This window comes from Homo sapiens, chromosome 21, assembly GCF_000001405.40.
Source record: "Homo sapiens chromosome 21, GRCh38.p14 Primary Assembly".
Taxonomy (NCBI): Eukaryota; Metazoa; Chordata; class Mammalia; order Primates; family Hominidae; genus Homo; species Homo sapiens.
The window spans coordinates 14,153,508-14,179,994 of record NC_000021.9 but is presented as its reverse complement, the minus strand read 5'-3'; the positions used below and the strand labels follow the sequence as shown (position 1 = coordinate 14,179,994).

Here is a 26,487-nt window from a genome sequence, read left to right as displayed (position 1 = left end):
TTTAGCGATATCTTTCCTGCTTGCACGTCCGTTTATACGCTCTCTGCAAGAAGAAAAATATGGCTCTTTTTGCCCGACCCCACAGGCAGTCAGACCTTATGGTTGTCTTCCCTTGTTCCCTAAAAGCCGCTGTTATTCTGTTCTTTTTCAAGGTGCACTGATTTCATATTGTTCAAACGCATATGTTTTACAATCAATGTGTATGGTTAACACAATTATCACAGTGGTCCTGAGGTGACATATATCCTCAGCTTATGAAGATAACAGGATTAAGGGATTAAAGTAAAGACAGGCATAAGAAGTTATAAAAGTATTATTTGGGAACTGATAAATGTCCAGGAAATCTTCACAATTTATGTTCCTCTGCTGCGGCTCCAGCCGGTCCCTCTATTTGGGGTCCCTGACTTCCTGCAACACTAACTTCAATTCTGCCTATGGCCTTTTGACTTAGCTCTTCATACTTTTTATTATTTTTGTTTGCATTTTTGACTTATCCTAATGAACTGTCTTGGATTGTCTTATATTTGCAACATCTTTTGATGATGCAACCTATCAGATCTAATCTGCCACTAGAGGCCACATAGTTGGAACATTGGATTGATCTTTTCATGACTATCACAAATAAGAAACACAGATTTTTTGATGCTGCATATGTACCTGTCCGAGAAATTTCTGAATGATATGCGTGGACTCAGCACATACCTGGTGAACTGCCTTTTCCTTGAATACTAGATAATGACCACATCTTCTACTTGCCAGTAATCCTCATTTTTATTCAGTTGTGAGTGTTCAGAAAGCCATGTGGCCTTTCAAATTTGTGGATTAGATAATTAGGGCATACATTTTTGCTGAGATATTGGGGAAAATTATGAGTCCAATATCCAAAAGATAGATGCTTTTGAAACCCTCATATTGGGTTTGCAAAACATCTCATCTGTTATTCTTGTCTGGAACTCCAAAGGACATTATAGAAGCATGGGTAAAGCTGAACAAATCAGCCTTCTTATGGTCTGCAGAAAGCTTCTCGTTATCTGAGTTGCCTCTGCCAAAATCACGTTTACTGAGTTTTTTGTTTAAGTAGATTCTGAATTGTTAGAACTCCTAGTTATCTGACAGAAGCAAACAATAGCCTTCTTTGTAGGAAATTCACATAATTCAATCTCAAATTATTTTTACAAAAACATATTAAAATAAATGTTTAGCATCCAAGATAGCCAGGCACACTTGGAGCAAGACAGCGTGAATGAGAAACAGCAGAAACAACAGTCAATAGACAACACCCATAGGCCTCCAGATATTGGAATTATTATACACTGGCTATAAAAAATGTGCTTATTATTAAGTTGGTGCAAAAGTAATTGTGGTTTTTGCTATTAATATTTTCAAAAAGGTAGAAGACTGAAAAATTTAACAAAAAATTAGTAAGTATAAATTTATCAATTATATTTGACAAAAATAATGAAAGTTCTTACCCTAAAAAGTAAAATAATTGACATCCATTGAATGGGTTTAACAGAAAATTAGAAATAGGTAAAGAGAGAGTGAGCGAGTGAACTAAAAAGTAGGTGAAAAGTAAATTTCTAGACTGAAGCAAATGGGTACCAAAGAATAGACAATATAGACCAACAGTTAAGAGATGCATAGGATAGGCAATGACATGGTAAATTACATTGTGTTAGAATTCTGGAATAAAAAGGCAGAAAAATGGAACAAAGACTATATTTAAAGAGATATTATCTCATAATTTTCCCAAACTGAGTAATATAATCAGTCTACAAGTTCAAAATGCCCAATTAATTCCATTCAATAAGAAAAATAATAAAGATTAATCTCCATTGAGATGTATGATAGTGAATTGCAGAAAAGGCCATCATCAAACCATACAAGTTTATTTAAATAAGGTGAATAAAATTGACCAGAGTTACAATTGAGTTCTCAACAGAAACAATGGAATATAGGAAACAACAGAATGATTGCTTCCATATGGTGAAAGGAAACAACTGCTAAGATAGTATCTCAATCTGTTTCAAGAATAAATGTATTTTATTTCAGACAAATTTAAACTGGAGAGAAACTGTCATGAGCAGAAAGGTTACCCTTCAGACATTCATGAGCAGAAATGTATTCTTCAGGTGGAAGGAAAATTATTCTTAGATTGTGGCTATTTTGGAAGGAAGAACAATGAACTAGTTAAATCTAAGCATATGTTGATGGCATAAAATACTATTAATAATGTTTTATGGACTTGAAATATAGAAAATTAAAATAAGCTAAAAATAGCATATGATTTTGGGTGATAAATGAATTTCCAGCTTTCTGTGTTCCTTTCATTGTATAGAAAGAAGGTGAAAATGACCTTCAGTAATTGATATTCATAAGTATAGTATTCATGTTGAATCTTTAGGGTATCTAGCAAGAAAAGAAGCAAGAAAATGAAGGACAAAAATTGAATATACTTTTTATGAAGTCTAAAAGAAGGCAAGAAAAGAGAGAAAGAATGCATACAACAGCTAAAGCAAATAGAAGGTAGATAATAAGATAGTAAAATCAAACACAACTATACAATTAAGATAAATGGACTTATGCTCTAATTAAAATATTATGGCTGTCAAACTTGATTAAAAAGAAAAAATCCAACTCTTATTTATTAAAGACATATATAAAAGCAAGGAAGCAAAATATTTGAAAGTAGAAGGGTGATAAAAAATATGCAAATATTATCCTCCAAATGGTGGTAAATCTATATTAGACAAAATTGATTTTATATAAACTAATAAAAATATGGACAAACTTTAAAATAATAAAACTTTGAACTCACAAAGAAGATATAACAATTGTAGTTTGTATGTACCTAATAACACAGCTTCAAATACATAATGCAGTATTAACAATAACACATTGCAAAAAAAGGCAACTACACAATCATAGTGAATAATTTTAATTAACACAATTGATCTAATAGACATTTATAGAACATTACACCTGAGAACTGCAGAATTTACAGTCTTCTGAAACACAAATGGATATTTTAGCTAAGTTAAGCATATACTGAGCCTTAAAAATATTCTCAAACATTTCGATATACCTAATGTAAATGAGGCGTTAACGGGTGCAGCACACTAACATGGCACATGTATACATATGTAACAAACCTGCACGTAGTGCACATGTACCATAGAACTTAAAGTATAATAATAATAATAAAAGAATAAATAAATAAATATAATCAGAGCTATGAGGGCATTATTAGCGAAATGTAACCAAAAAAAAAAAGAATTGAAAGCAAATAAAAATGTTTGTATCTGAAAAAAAAACAATATTCTCAAACATTTCAAAGTGTAGAAATCATAATCTTTTCTATCTTTAATGCACTTAATCCAAATAAATAACAAAAATATAACTAAAATCCATACATTTTTGAAAGTGAAAAATCACATTTAAAAATAACTAATGAATACAATAATAAATAATATAATCAAATATTTTGAATTGAATATTCACATTATTGCATATTAAACCTTTTTGGATTCAGCAAAGGCCATGGCTAGAAGTTAATGTATAGTTTTGAGTACAGCTGTTTTAAAAGGCTGAAAATCAATAATCTAAGCATCTATTTTGAAAAATTAAGAATTAAACGATAGAAACACACAGAAATGGAGAAAGAAGCAAATATTAAACATACCAAAGAAATTAATGGAATAAAAATTATGAATTGCAGATGATTTAAAAAGCCAAATTTTGCACTTTAGAAAAGATAAAAATTAATTATTATTTTAAAATTTATTTATATCACTTTTGCCTTCTTTTTTTTTTTTTTTTGAGACGGAGTCTCACTGTCGCCCAGGCTGGAGTGCAGTGGCGCGATCTCAGCTCACTGCAAGCTCCAACTCCCGGGTTCACGCCATTCTCCTGCCTCAGCCTCCCGAGTAGCTGGGACCACAGGCGCCCACCACCAGGCCCGGCTAATTTTTTGTATTTTTAGTAGAGACGGGGTTTCACCGTGTTAGCCAGGACGGTCTGGATCTCCTGACCTTGTGATCCGCCCGCCTCGGCCTCCCAAAGTGCTGGGATTACAGACTTGAGCCACCGCGCCCGGCCCACTTGTGCCTTCTTTCCATACAATGAAAGGAACATAGAATGCTTGAACTTCATACATCTCTTCTAAAAATAAATTCTTGGAGAGAAAAAACAGAACAAAAAGAGAAGACACAGCTAGTATCAGTAATTACCTGGTTCTGTTTCAGTCAACTGGATTCTGAAGATGAAAAAAACCTTGAACTCATATAAAACACAAAAATTATTTCCTTGTGGTATGCATACATGTGAAAGGAAAATAAATGGTTTATGAGCTATTATTTTTAAAGCCTTCATAACACTGGGATAATGAATAATATTTTCCCAAAGTACACAAAAATTTCTAACCCAAATGAAAAGATTAAAATGTCAGATTATATAAAAATTGAGACTGTTATAAATACTTTAAGAATGTGAAGAGCAAGCCATAAAAAAAAGCAGTAAAAGAGATAAAGACCTACTATCAGTCAGTAATAAAGACAAAGACAACCTAGTTAAGAAAAAGTCAGGACATTATGAAGGATACATTCTGAATAGGCAATAAACATATAAAAAGTTTTTAAAGTTAGTAAGAAAAAAATATAAATTAAAACCCAAACAAGAAGCCACATGCTTAAAATTCAAAAGCTTGACAAGACCATTTATTGGCAAAGATACGCTACAACTATTCAGCATTATTTATTAAAATCAAAGATACTCATAATCTATAACAATTCCACTCCTAGGTATGTAACCAACAGATGTACCTTCACATATGCATTAATATATGTGTTCAAAATGTTCATAGTTTGAACACATTAGCCTCAAATAGGAAACAATACAAATGCACCACAATAGGAGAATGGAAAAATAAGTTGTGATATGTTCATACAATGAAATACTATATGACAATAAATGACTGTTTTTACACCTGACAATGTGGATTGATAGCACAAACATACTAATAATCTAAAAAGCCAGAAACAAAAGCCTACATAAAATATGAGTAAGTTCATATATTTTTTCACAAAGGTGAAATCTAAACTATAGGGTTTTGGGAGTCATCCTTAGAAGATAAAGAATGAAAACAGGCCGGGTGCGGTGGCTCACGCCTGTAATCCAAGCACTTTGGGAGGCCGAGGCGGGGGATCACGAGGTCAGGAGTTCGAGACCAGCCTGGCTGGCATGGTGAAAGCCCATCTCTGCTAAAAATACCAAAAATTAGCTGGGCATGGTGGCATGCACCTTTAGTCCCAGCTACTTGGGAGGCTGAGGCAGGAGAATTGCTTAAACCCGGTAGGCAGAGATCACAGTGAGCGGAGATCATGCCATTGCACTCCAGCCTGGGCGACAGAGCCAGACTCCATTTCTAAAAAATAAAATAAAATAAAATAAAATAAACAACAGATGATTTTATTTAAAAAAAAATGATGGGTTAGCGATTAGGGGACAGAGAGACACTTGTGGCTGGGTAAGGGCACACTGGGAGCTCCCAGGTGCTATTTCTTTACATTAGTGTGGTAGCCCCATGGCTGTTTGCTTTATAATAATTAATTAGCCTATAGATTTATGTTTAATGTTCTTTTTCTGCATGTGTCTTATATTTTACAATAAAAGGAAAATTAAAAAGTCATAGCTGCTCTCCCCACCCTTCTTGAAACCAAGAGAATGAATGATCTAAGCAGACCAAGCTGCCCCCCACCCAATCTGATAAAAGGGAAATGACATGCCTGAATCAAGGGCTGCTTCAAAGTTAATGACAAATTTCTTTTATCCCTCCTGATTCCTAAGCAGTCCTGTTGGTTTGAGTCTCCTTCAGTGGCAGGTTGGAGAAAATGACAGTTCCAAACTGGAAACCCCTAGTCTTGGAACTCCATGTCGAGTTCATATATGAGGAAATTTCACAAATCTCTGACCCTGTTAAATTTTTTTCTTGTTTTAAAAACTTTTTGGTCTTATTTAGGAAGCATGCCCTTCCTTGCGTGAATTTCACAGGCTAAGAAGATGATGGGATTTTAAGACAGACTGGCTAGCATACCCTCACCATTGTCCCAATCAAGTCACCATTGTCCCAATCAAGCTTTCCTGAATTCTAGGGACCTGTCATGAAGTCATCTACATTGTCCTTTGTCTTTCCTTACCCATTAAATAGTGCTCTTCTCCCCTCCCTCCAGCCTCAGTGTACATGCCCAGTGTTCTCATGTGCTACTAACAACTCATTAGAGGTTCTGTTACATCCTAGAACTAAGTCAGGTTGCAGCATCTAAACCCTTACTGTCAGAACCATCTATTTATCTTTGTTTTATGCTAAATCTATTACTGATGTCTTTCATGAGTTCACTGTGTTGTAGGAAATCTTTTGTGCCCCAGATTAAAGCATTGTTATCTTATTTAGCAACACAATTTTGTATCAAATCACAGTCCTGAGTATTCTGAGCTTGCTAGCCCTTTTCACTGTTAAGGCTTCTCTGAGTTATATGCCGGTAATGGGCTCAGAATCTGTACATTCACCAGTGGTCCAATGATCTACAGGGCTACATAAACCCTTGAATCAAAGCTATGTGTTTCATGTCACTCTGACTCAAACTGCTCCAGCCAAGGCAACTTAGTTGTTAGATTTTTTTCCAGTTAGTGAATCCAGCACCAGCAGGTCTTAGAAATTATGACCAAAAGTGAAAGCAAATCATCACACTGATCGAAAAGGATCTGTAGGACTTGGCTTCCTTTGCTCCGAAGCTCCCTCTTACACATTAGACTTCAGCCACGCTGGCTTCTTCGCCGAGCGTATTCGCACAAATATCCACTGGGGTCACCGCCTCACATCCTTCACATTTGTGCTCCACTCCAACTTCTTCAAGTGGCAAATTCCTAAACCAAATAACTTAAACATGCAACTACCACCCTCACTAGACCCTTCCTGTCCTCTTGTTCTACTTAACTGTTCTCCATAGCACTTATTATTATTTCACATACTCTGTATTTACTTGTTTATTATGGTTTCCTTCCACTATAAAGTATTTTCGACTGCAAGGAATTTTGCTCTATTCTTTTTTCTTTTTATTTTATTTTATTATTATTATACTTTAAGTTTTAGGGTACATGTGCACAATGTGCAGGTTAGTTACATATGTATACATGTGCCATGCTGGTGTGCTGCACCCATTAACTCGTCATTTAGCATTAGGTATATCTCCTAGTGCTATCCCTCCCCCCTTCCCCCACCCCACAACAGTCCCCAGAGTGTGATGTTCCCCTTCTTGTGTCCATGTGTTCTCATTGTTCAATTCCCACCTATGAGTGAGAATATGCGGTGTTTGGTTTTTTGTTCTTGCGATAGTTTACCGAGAATGATGATTTCCAATTTCATCCATGTCCCTACAAAGGACATGAACTCATCATTTTTTATGGCTGCATAGTATTCCATGGTGTATATGTGCCACATTTTCTTAATCCAGTCTATCATTGTTGGACATTTGGGTTGGTTCCAAGTCTTTGCTATTGTGAATAGTGCTGCAATAAACATACGTGTGCATGTGTCTTTAAGCAGCATGATTTATAGTCCTTTGGGTATATACCCAGTAATGGGATTGCTGGGTCAAATGCTATTTCTAGTTCTAGATCCCTGAGGAATCGCCACACTGACTTCCACAATGGTTGAACTAGTTTACAGTTCCACCAACAGTGTAAAAGTGTTCCTATTTCTCCACATCCTCTCCAGCACCTGTTGTTTCCTGACTTTTTAATGATTGCCATTCTAACTGGTGTGAGATGGTATCTCATTGTGGTTTTGATTTGCATTTCTCTGATGGCCAGTGATGGTGAGCATTTTTTCATGTGTTTTTTGGCTGCATAGGTGTCTTCTTTTGAGAAGTGTTGGTTCATGTCCTTCACCCATTTTTTGATGGGGTTGTTTGTTTTTTTCTTGTAAATTTGTTTGAGTTCATTGTAGATTCTGGATATTAGCCCTTTGTCAGATGAGTAGGTTGTGAAAATTTTCTCCCATTTTGTAGGTTGCCTGTTCACTCTGATGGTAGTTTCTTTTGCTGTGCAGAAGCTCTTTAGTTTAATTAGATCCCATTTCTCAATTTTGGCTTTTGTTGCCATTGCTTTTGGTGTTTTAGACATGAAGTCCTTGCCCATGCCTATGTCCTGAATGGTATTGCCTAGGTTTTCTTCTAGGGTTTTTATGGTTTTAGGTCTAATGTTTAAGTCTTTAATCCGTCTTGAATTAATTTTTGTATAAGGTGTAAGGAAGGGATCCAGTTTCAGCTTTCTACATATGGCTAGCCAGTTTTCCCAGCACCATTTATTAAATAGGGAATCCTTTCCCCATTTCTTGTTTTTCTCAGGTTTGTCAAAGATCAGATAGTTGTAGATATGCGGCATTGTTTCTGAGAGCTCTGTTCTGTTCCATTGATCTATATCTCTGTTTTGGTACCAGTACCATGCTGTTTTGGTTACTGTAGCCTTGTAGTATAGTTTGAAGTCAGGTAGCGTGATGCCTCCAACTTTGTTCTTTTGGCTTAGGATTGACTTGGCGATGCGGGCTCTTTTTTGGTTCCATATGAACTTTAAAGTAGTTTTTTCCAATTCTGTGAAGAAAGTCATTGGTAGCTTGATGGGGATGGCATTGAATCTATAAATTACCTTGGGCAGTATGGCCATTTTCACGATATTGATTCTTCCTACCCATGAGCATGGAATGTTCTTCCATTTGTTTGTATCCTCTTTTATTTCATTGAGCAGTGGTTTGTAGTTCTTCTTGAAGAGGTCAATCACATCCCTTGTAAGTTGGATTCCTAGGTATTTTATTCTCTTTGAAGCAATTGTGAATGGGAGTTCACTCATGATTTGGCTCTCTGTTTGTCTGTTATTGGTGTATAAGAATGCTTGTGATTTTTGCACATTGATTTTGTATCCTGAGACTTTGCTGAAGTTGCTTATCAGCTTAAGGAGATTTTGGGCTGAGAAAATGGGGTTTTCTAGATATACAATCATGTCATCTGCAAACAGGTACAATTTGACTTTCTCTTTTCCTAATTGAATACCCTTTATTTCCTTCTCCTGCCTAATTGCCCTGGCCAGAACTTCCAACACTATGTTGAATAGGAGTGGTGAGAGAGGGCACCCCTGTCTTGTGCCAGTTTTCAAAGGGAATGCTTCCAGTTTTTGCCCATTCAGCATGATATTGGCTGTGGGTTTGTCATAGATAGCTGTTATTATTTTGAGATACATCCCATCAATACCTAATTTATTGAGAGTTTTTAGCATGAAGGGTTGTTGAATTTTGTCAAAAAACTTTTCTGCATCTGTTGAGATAATCATGTGGTTTTTGTCTTTGGTTCTGTTTCTATGCTGGATTACATTTATTGATTTGCGTATATTGAACCAGCCTTGCATGCCAGGGATGAAGCCCACTTGATCATGGTGGATAAGCTTCTTGATGTGCTGCTGGATTCGGTTTGCCAGTATTTTATTGAGGATTTTTGCATCAATGTTCATCAAGGATATTGGTCTAAAATTCTCTTTTTTTGTTGTGTCTCTGCCAGGCTTTGGTATCAGGATGATGCTGGCCTCATAAAATGAGTTAGGGAGGATTCCCTCTTTTTCTATTGATTGGAATAGTTTCAGAAGGAATGGTACCGGTTCCTCCTTGTACTTCTGGTAGAATTCGGCTGTGAATCCATCTGGTCCTGGACTCTTTTTGGTTGGTAAGCTATTGATTATTGCCACAACTTCAGAGCCTGTTACTGGTTTATTCAGAGATTCAACTTCTTCCTGGTTTAGTCTTCAGAGGGTGTATGTGTTGAGGAATTTATCCATTTCTTCTAGATTTTCTAGTTTATTTGCGTCGAGGTGTTTGTAGTATTCTCTGATGGTAGTTTGTATTTCTGTGGGATGGGTGGTGATATCCCCTTTTTCATTTTTTATTGCATCTATTTGATTCTTCTCTCTTTTCTTCTTTATTAGTCTTGCTAGCGGTCTATCAATTTTGTTGATCCTTTCAAAAAACCAGCTCCTGGATTCATTAATTTTTTGAAGGGTTTTTTGTGTCTCTATTTCCTTCAGTTCTGCTCTGATTTTAGTTATTTCTTGCCTTCTGCTAGCTTATGAATGTGTTTGCTCTTGCTTTTCTAGTTCTTTTAATTGTGATGTTAGGGTGTCAATTTTGGATCTTTCCTGCTTTCTCTTGTGGGCATTTAGTGCTACAAATTTCCCTCTACACACTGCTTTGAATGTGTCCCAGGGATTCTGGTATGTTGTGTCTTTGTTCTCATTGGTTTCAAACAACATCTTTATTTCTGCCTTCATTTCGTTATGTACCCAGTAGTCATTCAGGAGCAGATTGTTCAGTTTCCATGTAGTTGAACGGTTTTGAGTGAGTTTCTTAATCCTGAGTTCTAGTTTGATTGCACTGTGGTCTGAGAGACAGTTTGTTATAATTTCTGTTCTTTTACATTTGCTGAGGAGAGCTTTACTTCCAACTATGTGGTCAATTTTGGAATAGGTGTGGTGTGGTGCTGAATAAAATGTATATTCTGTTGATTTGGGGTGGAGAGTTCTGTAGATGTCTATTAGGTCCACTTGGTGCAGAGCTGAGTTCAATTCCTGGGTATCCTTGTTAACTTTCTGTCTCGTTGATCTGTCTAATGTTGACAGTGAGGTGTTAAAGTCTCCCATTATTAATGTGTGGGAGTCTAAGTCTCTTTGTAGGTCACTCAGGACTTGCTTTATGAATCTGGATGCTCCTGTATTGGGTGCATATACATTTAGGATAGTTAGCTCTTCTTGTTGAATTGATCCCTTTACCATTATGTAATGGCCTTCTTTGTCTCTTTTGATCTTTGTTGGTTTAAAGTCTATTTCATCACAGACTAGGATTGCAACCCCTGCCTTTTTTTGTTTTCCATTTGCTTGGTAGATCTTCCTCCATCCTTTTATTTTGAGCCTATGTGTGTCTCTGCACTTGAGATGGGTTTCCTGAATACAGCACACTGATGGGTCTTGACTCTTTATCCAATTTGCCAGTCTGTGTCTTTTAATTGGAGCATTTAGTCCATTTACATTTAAAGTTAATATTGTTATGTGTGAATTTGATCCTGTCATTATGTTAGCTGGTTATTTTGCTTGTTAGTTGATGCAGTTTCTTCCTAGCCTCAGTGGTCTTTACAATTTGGCATGATTTTGCAGTGGCTGGTACCGGTTTTTCCTTTCCATGTTTAGTGCTTCCTTCAGGAGCTCTTTTAGGGCAGGCCTGGTGGTGACAAAAATCTCTCAGCATTTGCTTGTCTGTAAAGTATTTTATTTCTCCTTCACTTATGAAGCTTAGTTTGGCTGGATATGAAATTCTGGGTTGACAATTCTTTCCTTTCAGAATGTTGAATATCGGCCCCCACTCTCTCCTGGCTTGTAGAGTTTCTGCCGAGAGATCCGCTGTTAGTCTGATGGGCTTCCCTTTGTGGGTAACCCGACCTTTCTCTCTGGCTGCCCTTAACATTTTTTCCTTCATTTCAACTTTGGTGAATCTGACAATTGTGTGTCTTGGAGTTGCTCTTCTCGAGGAGTATCTTTGTGGAGTTCTCTGTATTTCCTGAATCTGAATGTTGGCCTTCCTCGCTAGATTGGGGAAGTCCTCCTGGATAATATCTTGCAGAGTGTTTTCCAACTTGGTTCCATTCTCCCTGTCACTTTCAGGTACACCAATCAGATGTAGATTTGGTCTTTTCACATAGTCCCATATTTCTTGGAGGCTTTGTTCATTTCTTTTTATTCTTTTTTCTCTAAACTTCCCTTCTTGCTTCATTCATTCATTTCATCTTCCATCACTGATACCCTTTCTTCCAGTTGATCGCATCGGCCCCTGAGTCTTCTGCATTCTTCACATAGTTCTCGAGCCTTGGCTTTCAGCTCCATTAGCTCCTTTAAGCACTTCCCTGTATGGCTTATTCTAGTTATACATTCGTCTAAATTTTTTTCAAAGTTTTCAACTTCTTTGCGTTTGGTTTGAATGTCCTCCCGTAGTTCGGAGTAATTTGATCATCTGAAGCCTTCTTCTCTCAGCTTGTCAAAGTCATTCTCCAGCCAGCTTTGTTCCATTGTTGGTGAGGAACTGCATTCCTTTGGAGGAGGAGAGGCACTCTGCTTTTTAGAGTTTCCAGTTTTTCTGCTCTGTTTTTTCCCCATTTTTGTGGTTTCATCTACTTTTGGTCTTTGATGATGGTGATGTACAGATGGGTTTTTGGTGTGGATGTCCTTTCTGTTTGTTAGTTTTCCTTCTAACAGACAGGACCCTCAGCTGCAGGTCTGTTGGAGTTTGCTAGAGGTCCACTCCAGACTCTGTTTGCCTGGGTATCAGCCGTGGTGGCTGCAGAACAGTGGATTTTCGTGAACTGCGAATGCTGCTGTCTGATCATTCCTCTGGAAGTTTTGTCTCAGAGGAGTACCCGGCTGTGTGAGGTGTCTGTCTGCCCCTACTGGGGGGTGCCTCCCAGTTAGTCTGCTTGGAGGTCGGGGGTCAGGGACCCACTTGAGGAGACAGTCTGCCCGTTCTCAGATCTCCAGCTGCGTGCTGGGAGAACCACAGCTCTCTTCAAAGCTGTCAGACAGAGACATTTAAGTCTGCAGAGGTTACTGCTGTCTTTTTGTTTGTCTGTGCCCTGCCCCTAGAGGTGGAGCCTACAGAGGCAGGCAGGCCTCCTTGAGCTGTGGTGGGCTCCACCCAGTTCAAGCTTCCCAGCTGCTTTGTTTACCTAAGCAAGCCTGGGCAATGGCAGGCACCCCTCCCCCAGCCTTGCTGCCGCCTTGCAGTTTGATCTCAGACTGCTGTGCTAGCCATCAGTGAGACTCCGTGGGCGTAGGACCCTCCGAGCCATGTGTGGGATATAATCTCCTGGTGGGCCGTTTTTTAAGCCCATCGCAGAAGCGCAGTATTAGGGTGGGAGTGACCCGATTTTCCAGGTGCCATCTGTCACCCTTTCTTTGACTAGGAAAGGGAACTCCCTGATCCCTTGTGCTTCCCGAGTAAGGTAATGCCTCACCCTGCTTCGGCTTGCACATGGTGCGCTGCACCCACTTTCCTCCGCCCACTGTCTGGCACTCCCTAGTGAGATGAACCCGGTACCTCAGATGGAAATGCTGCCTTCTGCACCTGCCTTCTGCACCACTCACACTGGGAGCTGAAGACTGGAGCTCTTCCTATTCGGCCATCTTGGCTGCCCTCTCTATTTCTTTTTTCACTTATGCGGTCATACCACAAAAAACTGTGACTGACCGATAGTAAACTGCTGACTGGCAAATATATTAAATTAATGAAATATACTTTTCATGAAGGAATTATAGAAGAAAAACTTATCTTTATAAAAACAGCACTTATTTTCAATTCTAATATTTAAAGAGTAACTTTCAATGGATTTTATAGGCTATTTTGTTTTATGCAAGATACTCACCTGATTATATACATGTTGTGATTCTTGGGTGCCTTTCTTCTCAGGTTTAGGCATTCAAGAGCCCTTGGGACATATAGATTTTTATCCAAATGGAGGAAATAAACAACCTGGCTGTCCTAAATCAATTTTCTCAGGTATACTGACAGTATTTTTGAATGAACTACATAATATTCGAAATGATGAAAGAAAATAACTTACTTTTCCCCTCTTAATCTGTAGGCAGTGTTTTGATTTCATCATCATTGCCCATGACTCAGGAGAGTCATTGGTTAACAATGGTTTAATTTGACCATGCTTAGTTCATAAAGGTTACCAGTAGACATCCATTAGGTCATGGATGAGACCTCTTATATTATATTTTTAATAATTTTATTCCATCATTTTAAACATTAGGAGAAGTCGTAAGTCATTGAGGAAGCACATGTAGCTCAAGTATCATATAATACAACTTTGATCTCAGGATTTAATCTTAACCATCACCATATTACTGTACAAAGACAATTGTAAAAACTCTTGACACTTGATTGTTCTGTACATAAAGATAGCTGAGCAACTTCCCCAGGTGTGGAATTTGGCTCACATCAGAGCCATTGCAAGAAATGTTCTTAGGTCCACAACGGCAACTGGTCAAATAACACGTGACCAAAGGGCACTGTAGCTAAAGAAGTTTGGTGAAAAGGAGGAGGATGTGCAAGGTTGGAAAAGAAAAGGAAGGTAATAAAGTTTTAAGGTCAGCTGGTTTCATGGTCATCTTTGTCATTAGGTGGAAATGTTAGGAGTGCAGTATTAGAAGGAAAAGATGTGTACACTAGTTATTAAGTATAGTAGCACTGTGTAGAGCTTGTGAAACACTGAAATGAAACATTTTTGCTATGTTAATTATTACTTTAAAAATTCATTATAAATCTCATGCAAAAGACATACTAAATTTAAGTTTTCATTGGTACTATTTGTTTAGTGGTTTGACATAAAACTGTGTATTATAGTCAGTAATATTCATAAGGTACATAGTATTTAGCAAAACTTCATCTTTACTTTGTTTTTAAATGTACTTGAACATGGCTTAATACATCTACAGTTCTTTGTTTTTTTTTTAACCCTTAAGGAATTCAATTCATTAAATGCAACCACCAGAGAGCAGTTCACTTGTTCATGGCATCTTTAGAAACAAACTGCAATTTTATTTCATTTCCTTGTCGTTCATACAAAGATTACAAGACTAGCTTATGTGTGGACTGTGACTGTTTTAAGGAAAAATCATGTCCTCGGCTGGGTAAGAGAGATTATTATAGTTACTATCATTCTTATTTAATATGAATAACATAATTGTTAGTATTTTCTGCTGGAAGCTAAACTGTGCACTCTGTTTACTTGTTAATACATGACCATTTTATGGAAAAATCATCTGTAGAGATGTGGTACAGAGTAAATATTTCATTCCCTACTAAACATTTTTAATATATTTAAAGAGAAGAACATGATCAACTGCCTTTTTATGTTCAGTGTAGTGGGCAGATTAGATGGCTTTATAATGATTCTTGTTCCTGATGTACAAAAATATCTAACTATCATCCAACTATATTTTCACTTAAAGAAAGAAACTTGCACAGTCTTGGCAACACTGAGGTTTTTTTGTTTTTTTGAGATTTTAGGAACAAGTGAAGAGGTGTGAGCCATGGTTAGCTTCTCATTTGCTATCACCAAGTAGACATGAAACATGGTTCATACCTTCTAAATGGATAAACCTGCTAAGAGCAGTTAAGTATTGCTACTTCTGATAACTAAAACCTGCCAATAGGGAATTATAGAGAAAAAAATCCACATAAAAATATAATATTGGAACTGGAAAGAATTTCAGAGGCTGTTTGCTCAGGGTTTTTCAAAAAGAGCACCAGATCCAAGCATGCCATGAGCATGTAAACATCTGGTCAGTATCATGGCAGAATTCCCCAGAGATGTTTCCAAAGCCAAAGGGGTTCGAGGAATAGGTAGTGATTACAAAGGCTAAATTAAACCAACTGCTGAAGCAGGATCAGCACACACTGAGAACACCCTAGGAGGGGTATGCACTGTTCAGGCATTGCCAATTTGATTTTTCTCATAGACTTTTCTGTCTATAAGACACCATGTGGGATTAGTTTTCTTCAGACCTCCTGTTGTGGATTGCTTTTCTGGCCCCATCCTTCTTCCATGTAATGAGAAATTGTAACCCAGAGTGAATATATAAATCACATAAAGGCATAAGTTAGAACTTGAGTAAAACCTCTGAATTCTTAATTTACTATTCTTTCTACCATATTCAAATCTCAAATTTGGAGGTAGCAATGTGGGAACAAAGAAATACATGAGGCATATGAAATATATATTAACATAAACTTTATTTTATAAGTAATTTTTATCAATATATCAACATATTATATATAATAAATATTTTATATGTACACATATGTATCTGAAATATGTATATTATATGCACAACATACAGTACATGTAAAGTATACCTATACTACATATATATAATATATATAATGTATACACATGCATGCCATATCTGTATGTATTATACGTATTGGAGAATTAGGGAGCTATACTCATGGAGCTATATTGTATGTTTAAGTTTTATGTAGTCAATTTACTCTGCTGAACTTATTAGAAGGAATTACAGGTAAAATCCTGAATTTATAACAGTAAAACTTCTACAAATGGACTATAGCCATACGGATGGAGTATGCTAAGCTCTGATAAGATTTTCAGGGAGCAGATTTATTTGTGAATCCTGAATTTAAGAGTTGTTATTGTAATTAAAATAAATGGAATGCTACATTATTTGAAAAAATGCTTTTTAAGTTATCAAAATCCATGATGATCATTATGATGATTATATGCACTGATCTTTTAGTTACTTTAGTGATTTGACATTTTTGTTATTTGATGGAAATCCAATTTCTAATGTTCTATTTCTCAAATCTCAGGTTATCAAGCCAAGCTATTTAAAGGTGTTTTAAAAGAAAGGATGGAAGGAAGACCTCTTAGGACCACTGTGTTTTTGGATACAAGTGGTACATATCCATTCTGTAGTAAGTTATTAACAATTTTAACAAATAAACAAATTTTTAGTTTTTTTTGCACTAATCTACATTTGATTCAAAGTGTTCTTTGCACCCACTCAAATTCCATCATGTTCTTTCAGGCAAATTTAAAATTTGCTATAGCCAGTGGGACAAATTCAACTAAGGACTTGATCTTTTTTTAGATAAAATGGAGAGACGCTTGGGTAATATTTTCCCAAAGAAACAATCAAGGTTGCATTCCTTCATCCTAAATTTGCATATTGCCCTTTTCACCTCTAGAGTTATTTTGGCATGTAACATATTAAGGAGCCTATGATATATATATATATATACAGTCTGAACACCCATTATTAATAAAACTAGATTATTAATATATAAATATAAAAAAGGACAAGAAAGTAGTAATCCTCATAATACATTTAGAGTTAGGTAAGAGGAGAAAACTTGTAGAAGAAGAGAGAATCTCATAGAAATATAATAAATAATAGATTTATAAGGAAGTATTAAAGAAAGCAAAATTATTCTGTTTGGAAATGAAAAACTGGAAGTGGTTTGTAAATAAAATGAGTCCTTTTTATGTGAAGAATCTTATGGAGGAAGTTTTGAATTACTGTCATTAATTTTGATTACTGAGAGATAAGTACTTAAAATAGATTCTCATAAAATATTTTAGGTCAGTCATTTTTAATGTCTTCCAGTCACAGTCACTGCCAACTTCAATATATTATTCTTCAAACATTAGTGATGTGTCCTGTCAAACAGAATTGGGGCTGTCCATTTTTCAAATTAAAAATTTTATTGAGTTAATTTTAGATTTACATGTAGAAGTAAGAAATCATACACAGAGATACTGTATATACTTTAGTTTCCTTAAATGATAAACATTTTGCAGTGCCATAGAGTAGTAGCAGGATATTGACATTGATACAATGCACCCATCTTAATCAGATTTTCCTATACACTTGCCTGCGTGTGTGGCTATATGTGTATTTGGCTCCATACAAAATAGTCATATTTATAGGGCTCTGTATCTACCACCACAATGAAGCTGCTGAACAGTTCATCACCACAAGGAATCTTTGTGTTGTGCCTTTAAAACTACGTACCCCATCCCCCCGGTATCCATTCACACATTTCTAGAACTTTGTTATTTCAAGATTGTTATATAAAGAGAATCATCCAGCATGTGACCTTTTTAATTGGCTTATTTTTTCACTCAGCATAGTTCCCTGGAGGTTCATCCATGTAGCATGTATCAGTGATTCACTATACTTTTAGTGGCTGAGTAGTATTCCATAGTAATATATCCAGAGATATGATATATATATCAATACATATTGATCTATCTATCTATCTATCAATAGGGGTAGAGATATGTTCCTATGGGATACTACTCAGCAACTAAAGGTATAGTGAATCATTGATATATGCTACAGGGATGAACCTCCAGGGAATTATGCTGAGTGAAATAATATATCTATATATCTATAAATAGAGAAATACATATATCTATATGTTATATATCTATATTATATTAATATAATATATGTTATATTATATGTAATTATATATAATAATGTATATATTATATATTAATATATATTTGTATATATTATACATTAATATATAATAATGTATATATTATATATTAATATATAATAATGTATATATTATATATTAATATATAATAATGTATATATTATATATTAATATATAATAATGTATATATTATACATTAATATATAATAATGTATATATTATACATTAATATATAATAATGTATATATTATATATTAATATATTATATATGTATATTATATATTAATATATTATATAGATATATATTATATATATAATAGATATAATATATTAATATATAATAGATATGGATATTATATCTATATCTATATATCTATATATTATAGATATCTATATATTAGATCTATTTCTATATATAATAGCTATATAATATCTATATATAATATATATTGATATTATACTCATGTATATATAATATACATATATAACATAGATATTATATGTCATATATAATAGATATTACCTATATTACTATATATTATATATAACTATATATTACATATATATCTATAGGGATATATAGATACTATTTATGGAATATACGTATACATTTACATAGATACAGGATGTGCCACCATTTGTTTAACCAATCACCTGTTGAAGAGCATCTGGGATGTTTTAAGGTTTTGGCTATGACAAATAAAGCTGCTTGAATATAGTGTATAAGTTTTTGTGTGAATATGTCTTCATTTATCTGTCATAAATTCCCAGGAGTGTTATTGCTGGGACAGAAACTAATTGCACATTTAGCTTTGAAAAAATTTAACATTTTTTTGGAGTGACTGTACCACTTTACATTATCCCAATTAAAATATAAGTGATCTAATTTTTCCGATTTTTTTCAGAATTTGGTGGTGTCATTATTTTAAAAATTCTTACGCATTCTGACAGGCATACAGTGATGCTTCAGTGGTTTTAGTATTCATTGCCCTGATGGATGATTATATTGACTATTTCTTCTACTTATCACCTTTGGTGAAATGTGTATTCGTGTCTTTTGGATATTTTTCAATTGGGCTTTTTTTTAAGCTGTTGACTTTTGATAATTCTTTATATAATTTCTAAACTAGTCCTTGTCAATATTTGATCTACAAATATTTTCATACAGTTTGTAACTTGTCTTTTTATCTGTTTCACAAAAGCATGGGCAGAGAAAAAGTGATTAGTTTTGATGAGGAGTAATTGATCATTATTTTAGGTATGTATCACGCTTTAGGTGTCAAGTCTAAGAACTCTGTGTTGAGCCCTAGGTCCTGAGGGTTTTCTCCTGTAATTTTTTCTAAAAATAATAGTTCTATGTGTTACATTTACATCTGAAATCCATTTCTATTTAGTTTTTTTTATAGCTCCAGCATCATTTGTTGATAGATTCTCTTTTATTAAGTGCTTTTGCATCTTTATCAACAATTGGTTAAAATATATCTCTGTAGATGAGATATATAATATAGATATCAATATATATCGATATGTTTATTGACATATGTTTGTACCTATTTGTGTTGGGTCTGTATTTTGATATGTATATTTTTTCATTTATGTATGTGTTCATTTCTTTTTCTAGTACCACATAGCATTTAATTAATGTAGCTATATAGTAAGCATTAATATCAAGTAGACTGATTATTTCCTCTTCATTCTTCTTTGTCATGATTATTTTAGATCTTCTAGTGTATGTACATTTCAATATAAATTTTAGCATAACGTTGTCTATATTTGCAAAAATTTGTCTGAGGTTTCAACAGAAATTACATTAACCACATCTTTCAATTCGGGGAGAGCTGATGTCTTTACCATGCTGAATATTCTAATTCATGAATATGGTATGTCTTTCCATATACTTTGATTCTTTGATTTCTTCAGTCAGCATTTTACAATTTTCAACATACAGATCCTGTGCATCTTTTGTTGTGTGTATACCACATATTCATTTTGGGGAGTAATTGTAAAATGTATTTCTAAATTTTGGTATCTCCACATTCAATGTTGGTATATAGTAATGAGATCGCATCTTTTGTGTTGAATTTGTTTCCTGGGAACTTGCTGAATTCATTTATTGTTTCTAGGTTAAAACAATAGATTCATTGGAATTTTCTATGTAAGCAATTATGTTTTCTGCAAATAAGAATGCTTTTATTTCTTCTATTACAATCTGTGTGCATTTAATTTTTTTAAATCTACTTGCTGCCATGGCTAGAACTTCCAGTGCTATTTTGAATAATAGTGGTAAGCACAGATACCTTTGCCTTAGAGAAAAAAAAAATCCAATCTTTTGCCATTAAAGTGTGATGTGACTTATAGTTTTTTTTGTAGATACACTATAAAATTGAGTTAGTTCCCCTCTATTCCTAACTTGCCAAGAATTTTACCTCATAAATATGTGTTGGATTTTGCCATATGCTTTTTATGCATAATTGATATGATCATATAATTTTTTTCTTTAGTTTGTTGATATGTTGAACTATATTAATTGATTCTAGAATGTTGAACAAGCTTTGCATTCCAGTAATAAATTCTACTTGGGCTTAGTGCGTATTTTAAAATACATTGTTGAATTTCATTCGTTAATATTTTGTTGAGAATTTTTCTAAGTTCATAAGAGGTATTTGTTAGTAGTGTTCCTTTCTTATTGTCTTTGTCTGGTTTTGGCATAACAGTAATAGCGTATTCGTACTACTATAATAATACAACGTCATAAAAAAAGTGGGCAAGTTTTCCCTTCTCTGTTGTCTGTTCTGAAAGAGATCGTGCAAGATTTGTGTTAATTCTTTAAATGTTTGGCAGAATTTTCCAGTGAAACCATTTGGGTCTGGAGACTTTTTTGGGAGGAAGTTTTTACTACAAATTTAATTTATTTAATAATTTTAAGACTATTTGGATTATCTATTTCAGCTTGGTTGAGGTTTTGTAGTTTGTGGTTTTTGGGGAATTGGTCCTTTTTTTTAAGGTGTTGAATTGTGAACAGTAGGTTTTTTAAAATTTATCTTTTTAATGATTGCATTATCTTTAGTAATGCCTTTTGTTTTATTCCTAACAGTGATTTGTGTCTTGATTCTTTTTATTTTGTCTGTCTTGCTAGACAAAATGGTTTATCGATTTTATTGGTTTTTATTCAAGAATCAGATTTTTGTTTAATTTTCTATCATGTTCTGTTATTAAATTTCATTAATTTCTGCTTTGTTCTCTCTCTATATATATATTTCTACACACACATATATATATTTTAATATATATATAAAATATATATTTCTACACACACATCTTTTCTTCTACTCTATTTGGGTTTATTTTGTTCTTTTTCTATTTTCTTGAGGCAGAAACTTAAATTATTGGCCTCAGATATTTCTTCATTTCTAATGTAATCATTTAGTCTGTGAAATTTCCTCTCAGTACTGCCTGATTTGTGTCTCATGTGTTTTGATATGTTGTATCTTTTTTATTCTGTTCTATGTATTTTTTAGAGAACTCTTCTTTGACCATGGGTTATTTATAAGCACGCTGTTGAATTTCCACAGTTTAGAAATTTTCCTGTTGTCTGTTACTGACCTTTAGATTAATTTTATTATGGCTAGAAATCAAACTCTGTATAAATTTTTTAACAACGTCCTGAGGTATTTTAGTAGTCAAGCATTGATCTCTTTAGGCTCATGCTTCATGTGTACTGGCAATACATGTGTATTCTGCTTTTTTGGGTATAAAGTAATATTTTGTTGGTTGATCTCAGACATCATCAAGTCATTACAGCATCAACTTAAAGTAAAAAATCTCCTCTAAACTCAACAGATACAAAGTTCTAAATCTTGTTGCCTAATTCATCTAAATCAGATTTGGCTACAGCTCTGGATATAAGTACTTGGACATAATTTTTCTTCATCTGTGAACCTGTGAATCTCAGGAATCAAATTACCTCCCCCTCAAATACAGTGATGAGACAGGGATACGATACCAGTTATAGCATTCTTGTTCAAAGAGAAGAAAAGTAGAAGAAAAATAGAGTCAACACTCCATGCAATTTTTAAATTCAGCCAGGCAAACTCCATCTGATTTAAAGGCCTGGGAATAATTCTCTGTGGTTCATGGCTCTGCTCCCTGGGTTCATGGCTTCGCATGTTGGTCTCTTAGAGTCCTTCTCTCTTTCTTTCACCCCCTTCTTCTTTAAATGTAGAAATGGTAGCATATGTTTGCATCTGAGTAGTTTTTTCATCTTGTTTCTTGTTTGTAGACGTTTTCCAGGCCTCAAAACTTTTTCTCATTTTATACTCTGTTGCTTTTAGTCCAAGTTGGCACTATTTATACCACTATAACGTTCTCCAAAGCCTGGTGGATCTCCGTATATGTCACAGAGAGTCATTCTATTAAAAAAGAGACTCCTCCATATTTTTTCTAGACAATCCTGCCTCTATTATTGGCCTCTGCCAAGATGGCTAAAGGAATCTGTGAGTCATGTGCTTAATATTTTCAAAGACCCTTTTGTGTGACTAAATGCTCTGATTTTTAAAATCTTTCTGAGGGAAAAGGTTGTGCCAGCTACACCCTCAGCTTTTTCTCTAGAGCTTCATTTCCCATTGATAAATTTCTTAACATGGGTATCTTAGTAAACTTGCTAGGCTGAGGATTTCCCAAATCAGCAAGTCAGGATTCTTTTTAATTTAACGGTTTCATCTCAATTTCTGTCTTTCCTCACACAATTCATGATGAGCACCAAGGAGAAATCTGGCCACACTTTCAACCCCTGTCTTATAAATCCCCTTGGTTAAATTTCCAATTTCTTCATTTACAATTTCTGCTTTCCACATAAATTGCAGTACATAATTCCACTAAGCTACCTGCCACGATGTAGTGAGGATTCTTCTTCTACCAGTTTCCAATAATATATTTCTAATTTCCGTTTGAGTCCTCAATGACGGCAAGATTAACATCCTTATTCATTCCATTAGACATCCATATTTCTCACCAACAGCCTTTTTGTAATGTGTATTTTCTCTGCCATGTTCCTTATTTCCTCCTGTGTCCTTACTAGCACATTTCTAGTTAGTTGAATAAACTAACAATTTATTCAAGGAAATCTAGGCTTTCCTATTATGTTCCTAAAAATTTTTCCAGCTTCTTCTTATTTCTAATTTAGAAGCCACTTTTCCACTTGTATATGTTTTTTATAGCTATATCACATTATTTGTATCAAAATGTATATTGATTTTCTATAACTACACTAACAAATTACCACAAATTTGGTGGCTTAAAACAACACAAATATACTATCTTAAAGTTCGGTAGTCCAGAAGTCTAATACAGATGTCACTGTGCTAAAGTCAAGGTGTTAGCAGGTGCATTCCTTTCTGGAGGCTCAGGGGAGAATATACTTTCTTAACTTTTCCAGCTCTAGAAATTGTTCATATTTGTTGGCTTGTGGCCTTTTCATTCACATTAGTGGGCTGAGTCTTCATATTATATCATTTTGACCCTTTTTCTGCACGACATCTCTGTTTCTGATTCTCCTCTTTTGTCTTCCTCTTCCTCTTCCTCTTTTAAGGCCCCTTGTGATTACATTGGGTCCACCTAGATAATTCAATAAAATGTCGCTATTTTAAGAATAGCTGGTTAGCAACTCTAATTTTATTTGCAATCTTAATTATCCTTTGCTATATAAGATAACATACTTGTAGGTTCCAGGGATTAGGACAAGGATATATTTGGGGAGGCCTACAACAATTACAATATGCATACATTATTCATCACTGTTTAATGATTCCAACATTTAACCATTTGAAGTAAAATGTGGAAACCTCACTTCCATGTAGGCCCCTTTACATTCCCCACATTTAATTATCATGATTTTGAATATTAGATTGTGTAAAAATTTTTGTTTCAATCCTTAACATTTACAAAATCAATGAGAAAAAGATAACCTATTGTATGTACCCATATTTATTCTCTTCTCATTGTTCATTCTTTCTTCATAATGATTCATGATTATTTCATTAATTCCTTTCTGTATGAAGAAATTACTTCTGACTATCTCTAAGGATAATTCTGCTAGTGAGATTTGTTTTTTACTGTTTCTTTGTCTGACAATGTCTCTATTTCCCCTTCATTCTCAAAGGACAGTTTTGTTGGATGTAAGATTTGAGGTTGGCAGTATTTTCTTTCAGCACTTGAAAAATGTTATATTTTCTTTTGACCTCCATGACTTTCAGATGTGAAATCCATTATGATTCAAACTGGTGTTCTCCTGTAGGTAATGCATCATTTCTTTCTGGCTGCTTTCAAGACTTTTATTTCTTTGTTTTTACTTTTGCAGCTTTATTATGATGTCTCTTGGTTAGAATTTCATGAAGTTTATTATATTTCAGGTTCACTTAGCTTTTTCAATCTGTGTTTATTTTTTTCACCAAATTTAGAAAGTTTCCAGGCATCATGTCACAGCCCCACACTCTCTTCTCTTTCTGACACTCTAATAGCAGAAATATTACATCTTTTATTATAGTCCCACAGATCCCTGAGGCTTTGTTCATTTATTTTTCTCCATCTTTTTTTCTCTGTCATTAAGATTGACTGGCCCTCAAGTTCACTGATTTCTTCTTTTATTATCTCTACTCACTATTGAGTATATCATGTGAGTTTTGTATCTGCAATTGTATTTTTTGTTTCTGTAATTTTGGAAGTCCAATGCACTATTCATTGCACGATGGAGCCACCTTTGTTTCTGTAACTTCATTTTTTCTTTTACAACTTTTTTTCTTTGCTAAGGTTTTAATTTTTTCTCATTTTTTCAAGAGACATGTTAACTTTGAATCATTATTGTGATGGCTCCTTTAAAATAAATGTCAGATAATCTCAGCATCTAATTTATCTCAGGGTTAGCATCAGGTAATTTTCTTAACAATGTTGTGATTTTCTTTGTTCTTGGTATTATGGGCAATTTTTGATCATATCTTGGACATTGTATCTCTTGTGTCAAAATCTGAGATCTATTTAAAACTTTTATTTTAGCGGGCAGTTCCTCTGTTTAGGTGTTGGCTTTAGATATTCCAAGGCCGTGATTTTTAGATGCATAAAACTTTTGGGACATCATATTTTCTCAGCGACTAACTTATTTTTTTGCTTTTTATGCATTTATACATGAATATGGATCTTGCTTCACAGACTATTTTATCAGACTCTGTCACAGCTACAAGTTGCCTCAGAGAGCCTTAGAATCTTTATTCTTCTTTTCTATCTTCAATATTATATCCTGTAGTATTTTCCTTCCATTTCTCATTTAATAATACATATTAATTATAAATAGTATCATCAAATACTTCCTTATATTTACCAATTTCAGTTTTCTACATTTTGTCTTATTCCCTCCTTCAACTCCTTCCTTCTGGTTTTAACGTTTTTCTTGCTGAAGTATATCCTAGTAGTAGCTTTTCAATAGTAGTCTTTCTCAGTCTTTTTCTTTTTTTGTCTTTCCTGAAAATGTCCTTATCCTTCCCTCAGTCAGAAATGAAAAGATAGTTTAGGACAGAATTCTATATTGAAAGTTTATATGCTCAGCACATTGAAAATACGACTTCTCTTGTTTTCAGATACACTTTTTTTCATTTATCTTCTATCTAATTTTTCTGTGAAGATAATCTATCATTTCATCAGACTGAATGTATTCATTGATTTATTTTTTTATATTGTTATTTTCCAGTCTCAGTGGTTTGTCAAGTCTGGATTAAAAATTAATTAAAAAAAACCTATTTGTGCTACTTCAAAATAGAGATTCATGTCTATCTTTGATATAAAAAACTCTCAGAAATCAGCTCTTCTTCAAAGTTCCCCTTCAGAGCAAGTCAGATTTTCTTTTTTCAGAACCATATTACCACAATCCTGAAGCATTTTAATGTAAATTTGTGGGGGTCTTTCAACATATAAATAGTGTAAACTTAAATTTCATGTTTTCTGGAGTTTTATTTAATCTCAAGAAACAATTTATGTTTTCACGTAAGACCCAGACTGAAAAAATAGGAAGAATTTTCCTAGTTCCTCTTTCAATGATGGGTCAGGGAATTTCAATTATGAGGTTTATGGCTCTGTGCAGGGACCTCCATTTCAGCTTTGTCCTTTAGCATCATTTCTCCTGTTCCTGCATGGAGGTTGACACTTCAGCCTCCATCTTCATGCTACAACAGGCTCTGAAGTCCCAGAGGGGTCCAGGGCTTCAGTTCTTCTGGCCTTGGCTTTAATTTCTCTTTGTTTCTGCTTTCTGACACTTCCCCTTCCTTCTTCAGAGCTTGGTTGCATATTGAAACATGGATTGTACACCTAGCATTTCCATGTATTTATAGTGGGAG

At 34.5% G+C, this 26,487-nt stretch overlaps 1 protein-coding gene across 8 annotated transcripts in view; it reads left to right on the top strand.

Annotated features, from left to right (window-relative positions):
• The window catches only part of LIPI (lipase I), a 102,144-nt gene that overhangs the window by 30,961 nt on the left and 44,696 nt on the right, over positions 1–26,487 (top strand). For 5 of the 8 annotated variants that reach the window (NM_198996.4, NM_001379566.1, NM_001303001.2 and 2 more), the window contains 3 exons: positions 13,544–13,633; positions 14,605–14,772; positions 16,472–16,576. In NM_198996.4, coding sequence (NP_945347.3) covers positions 13,544–13,633; positions 14,605–14,772; positions 16,472–16,576 — 363 coding nt within the window. The remainder of the gene's footprint in view (positions 1–13,543; positions 13,634–14,604; positions 14,773–16,471; positions 16,577–26,487) is intronic. The other 3 variants (NM_001379565.1, NM_001303000.2, NM_001302999.2) reach the window with 3 other exon arrangements.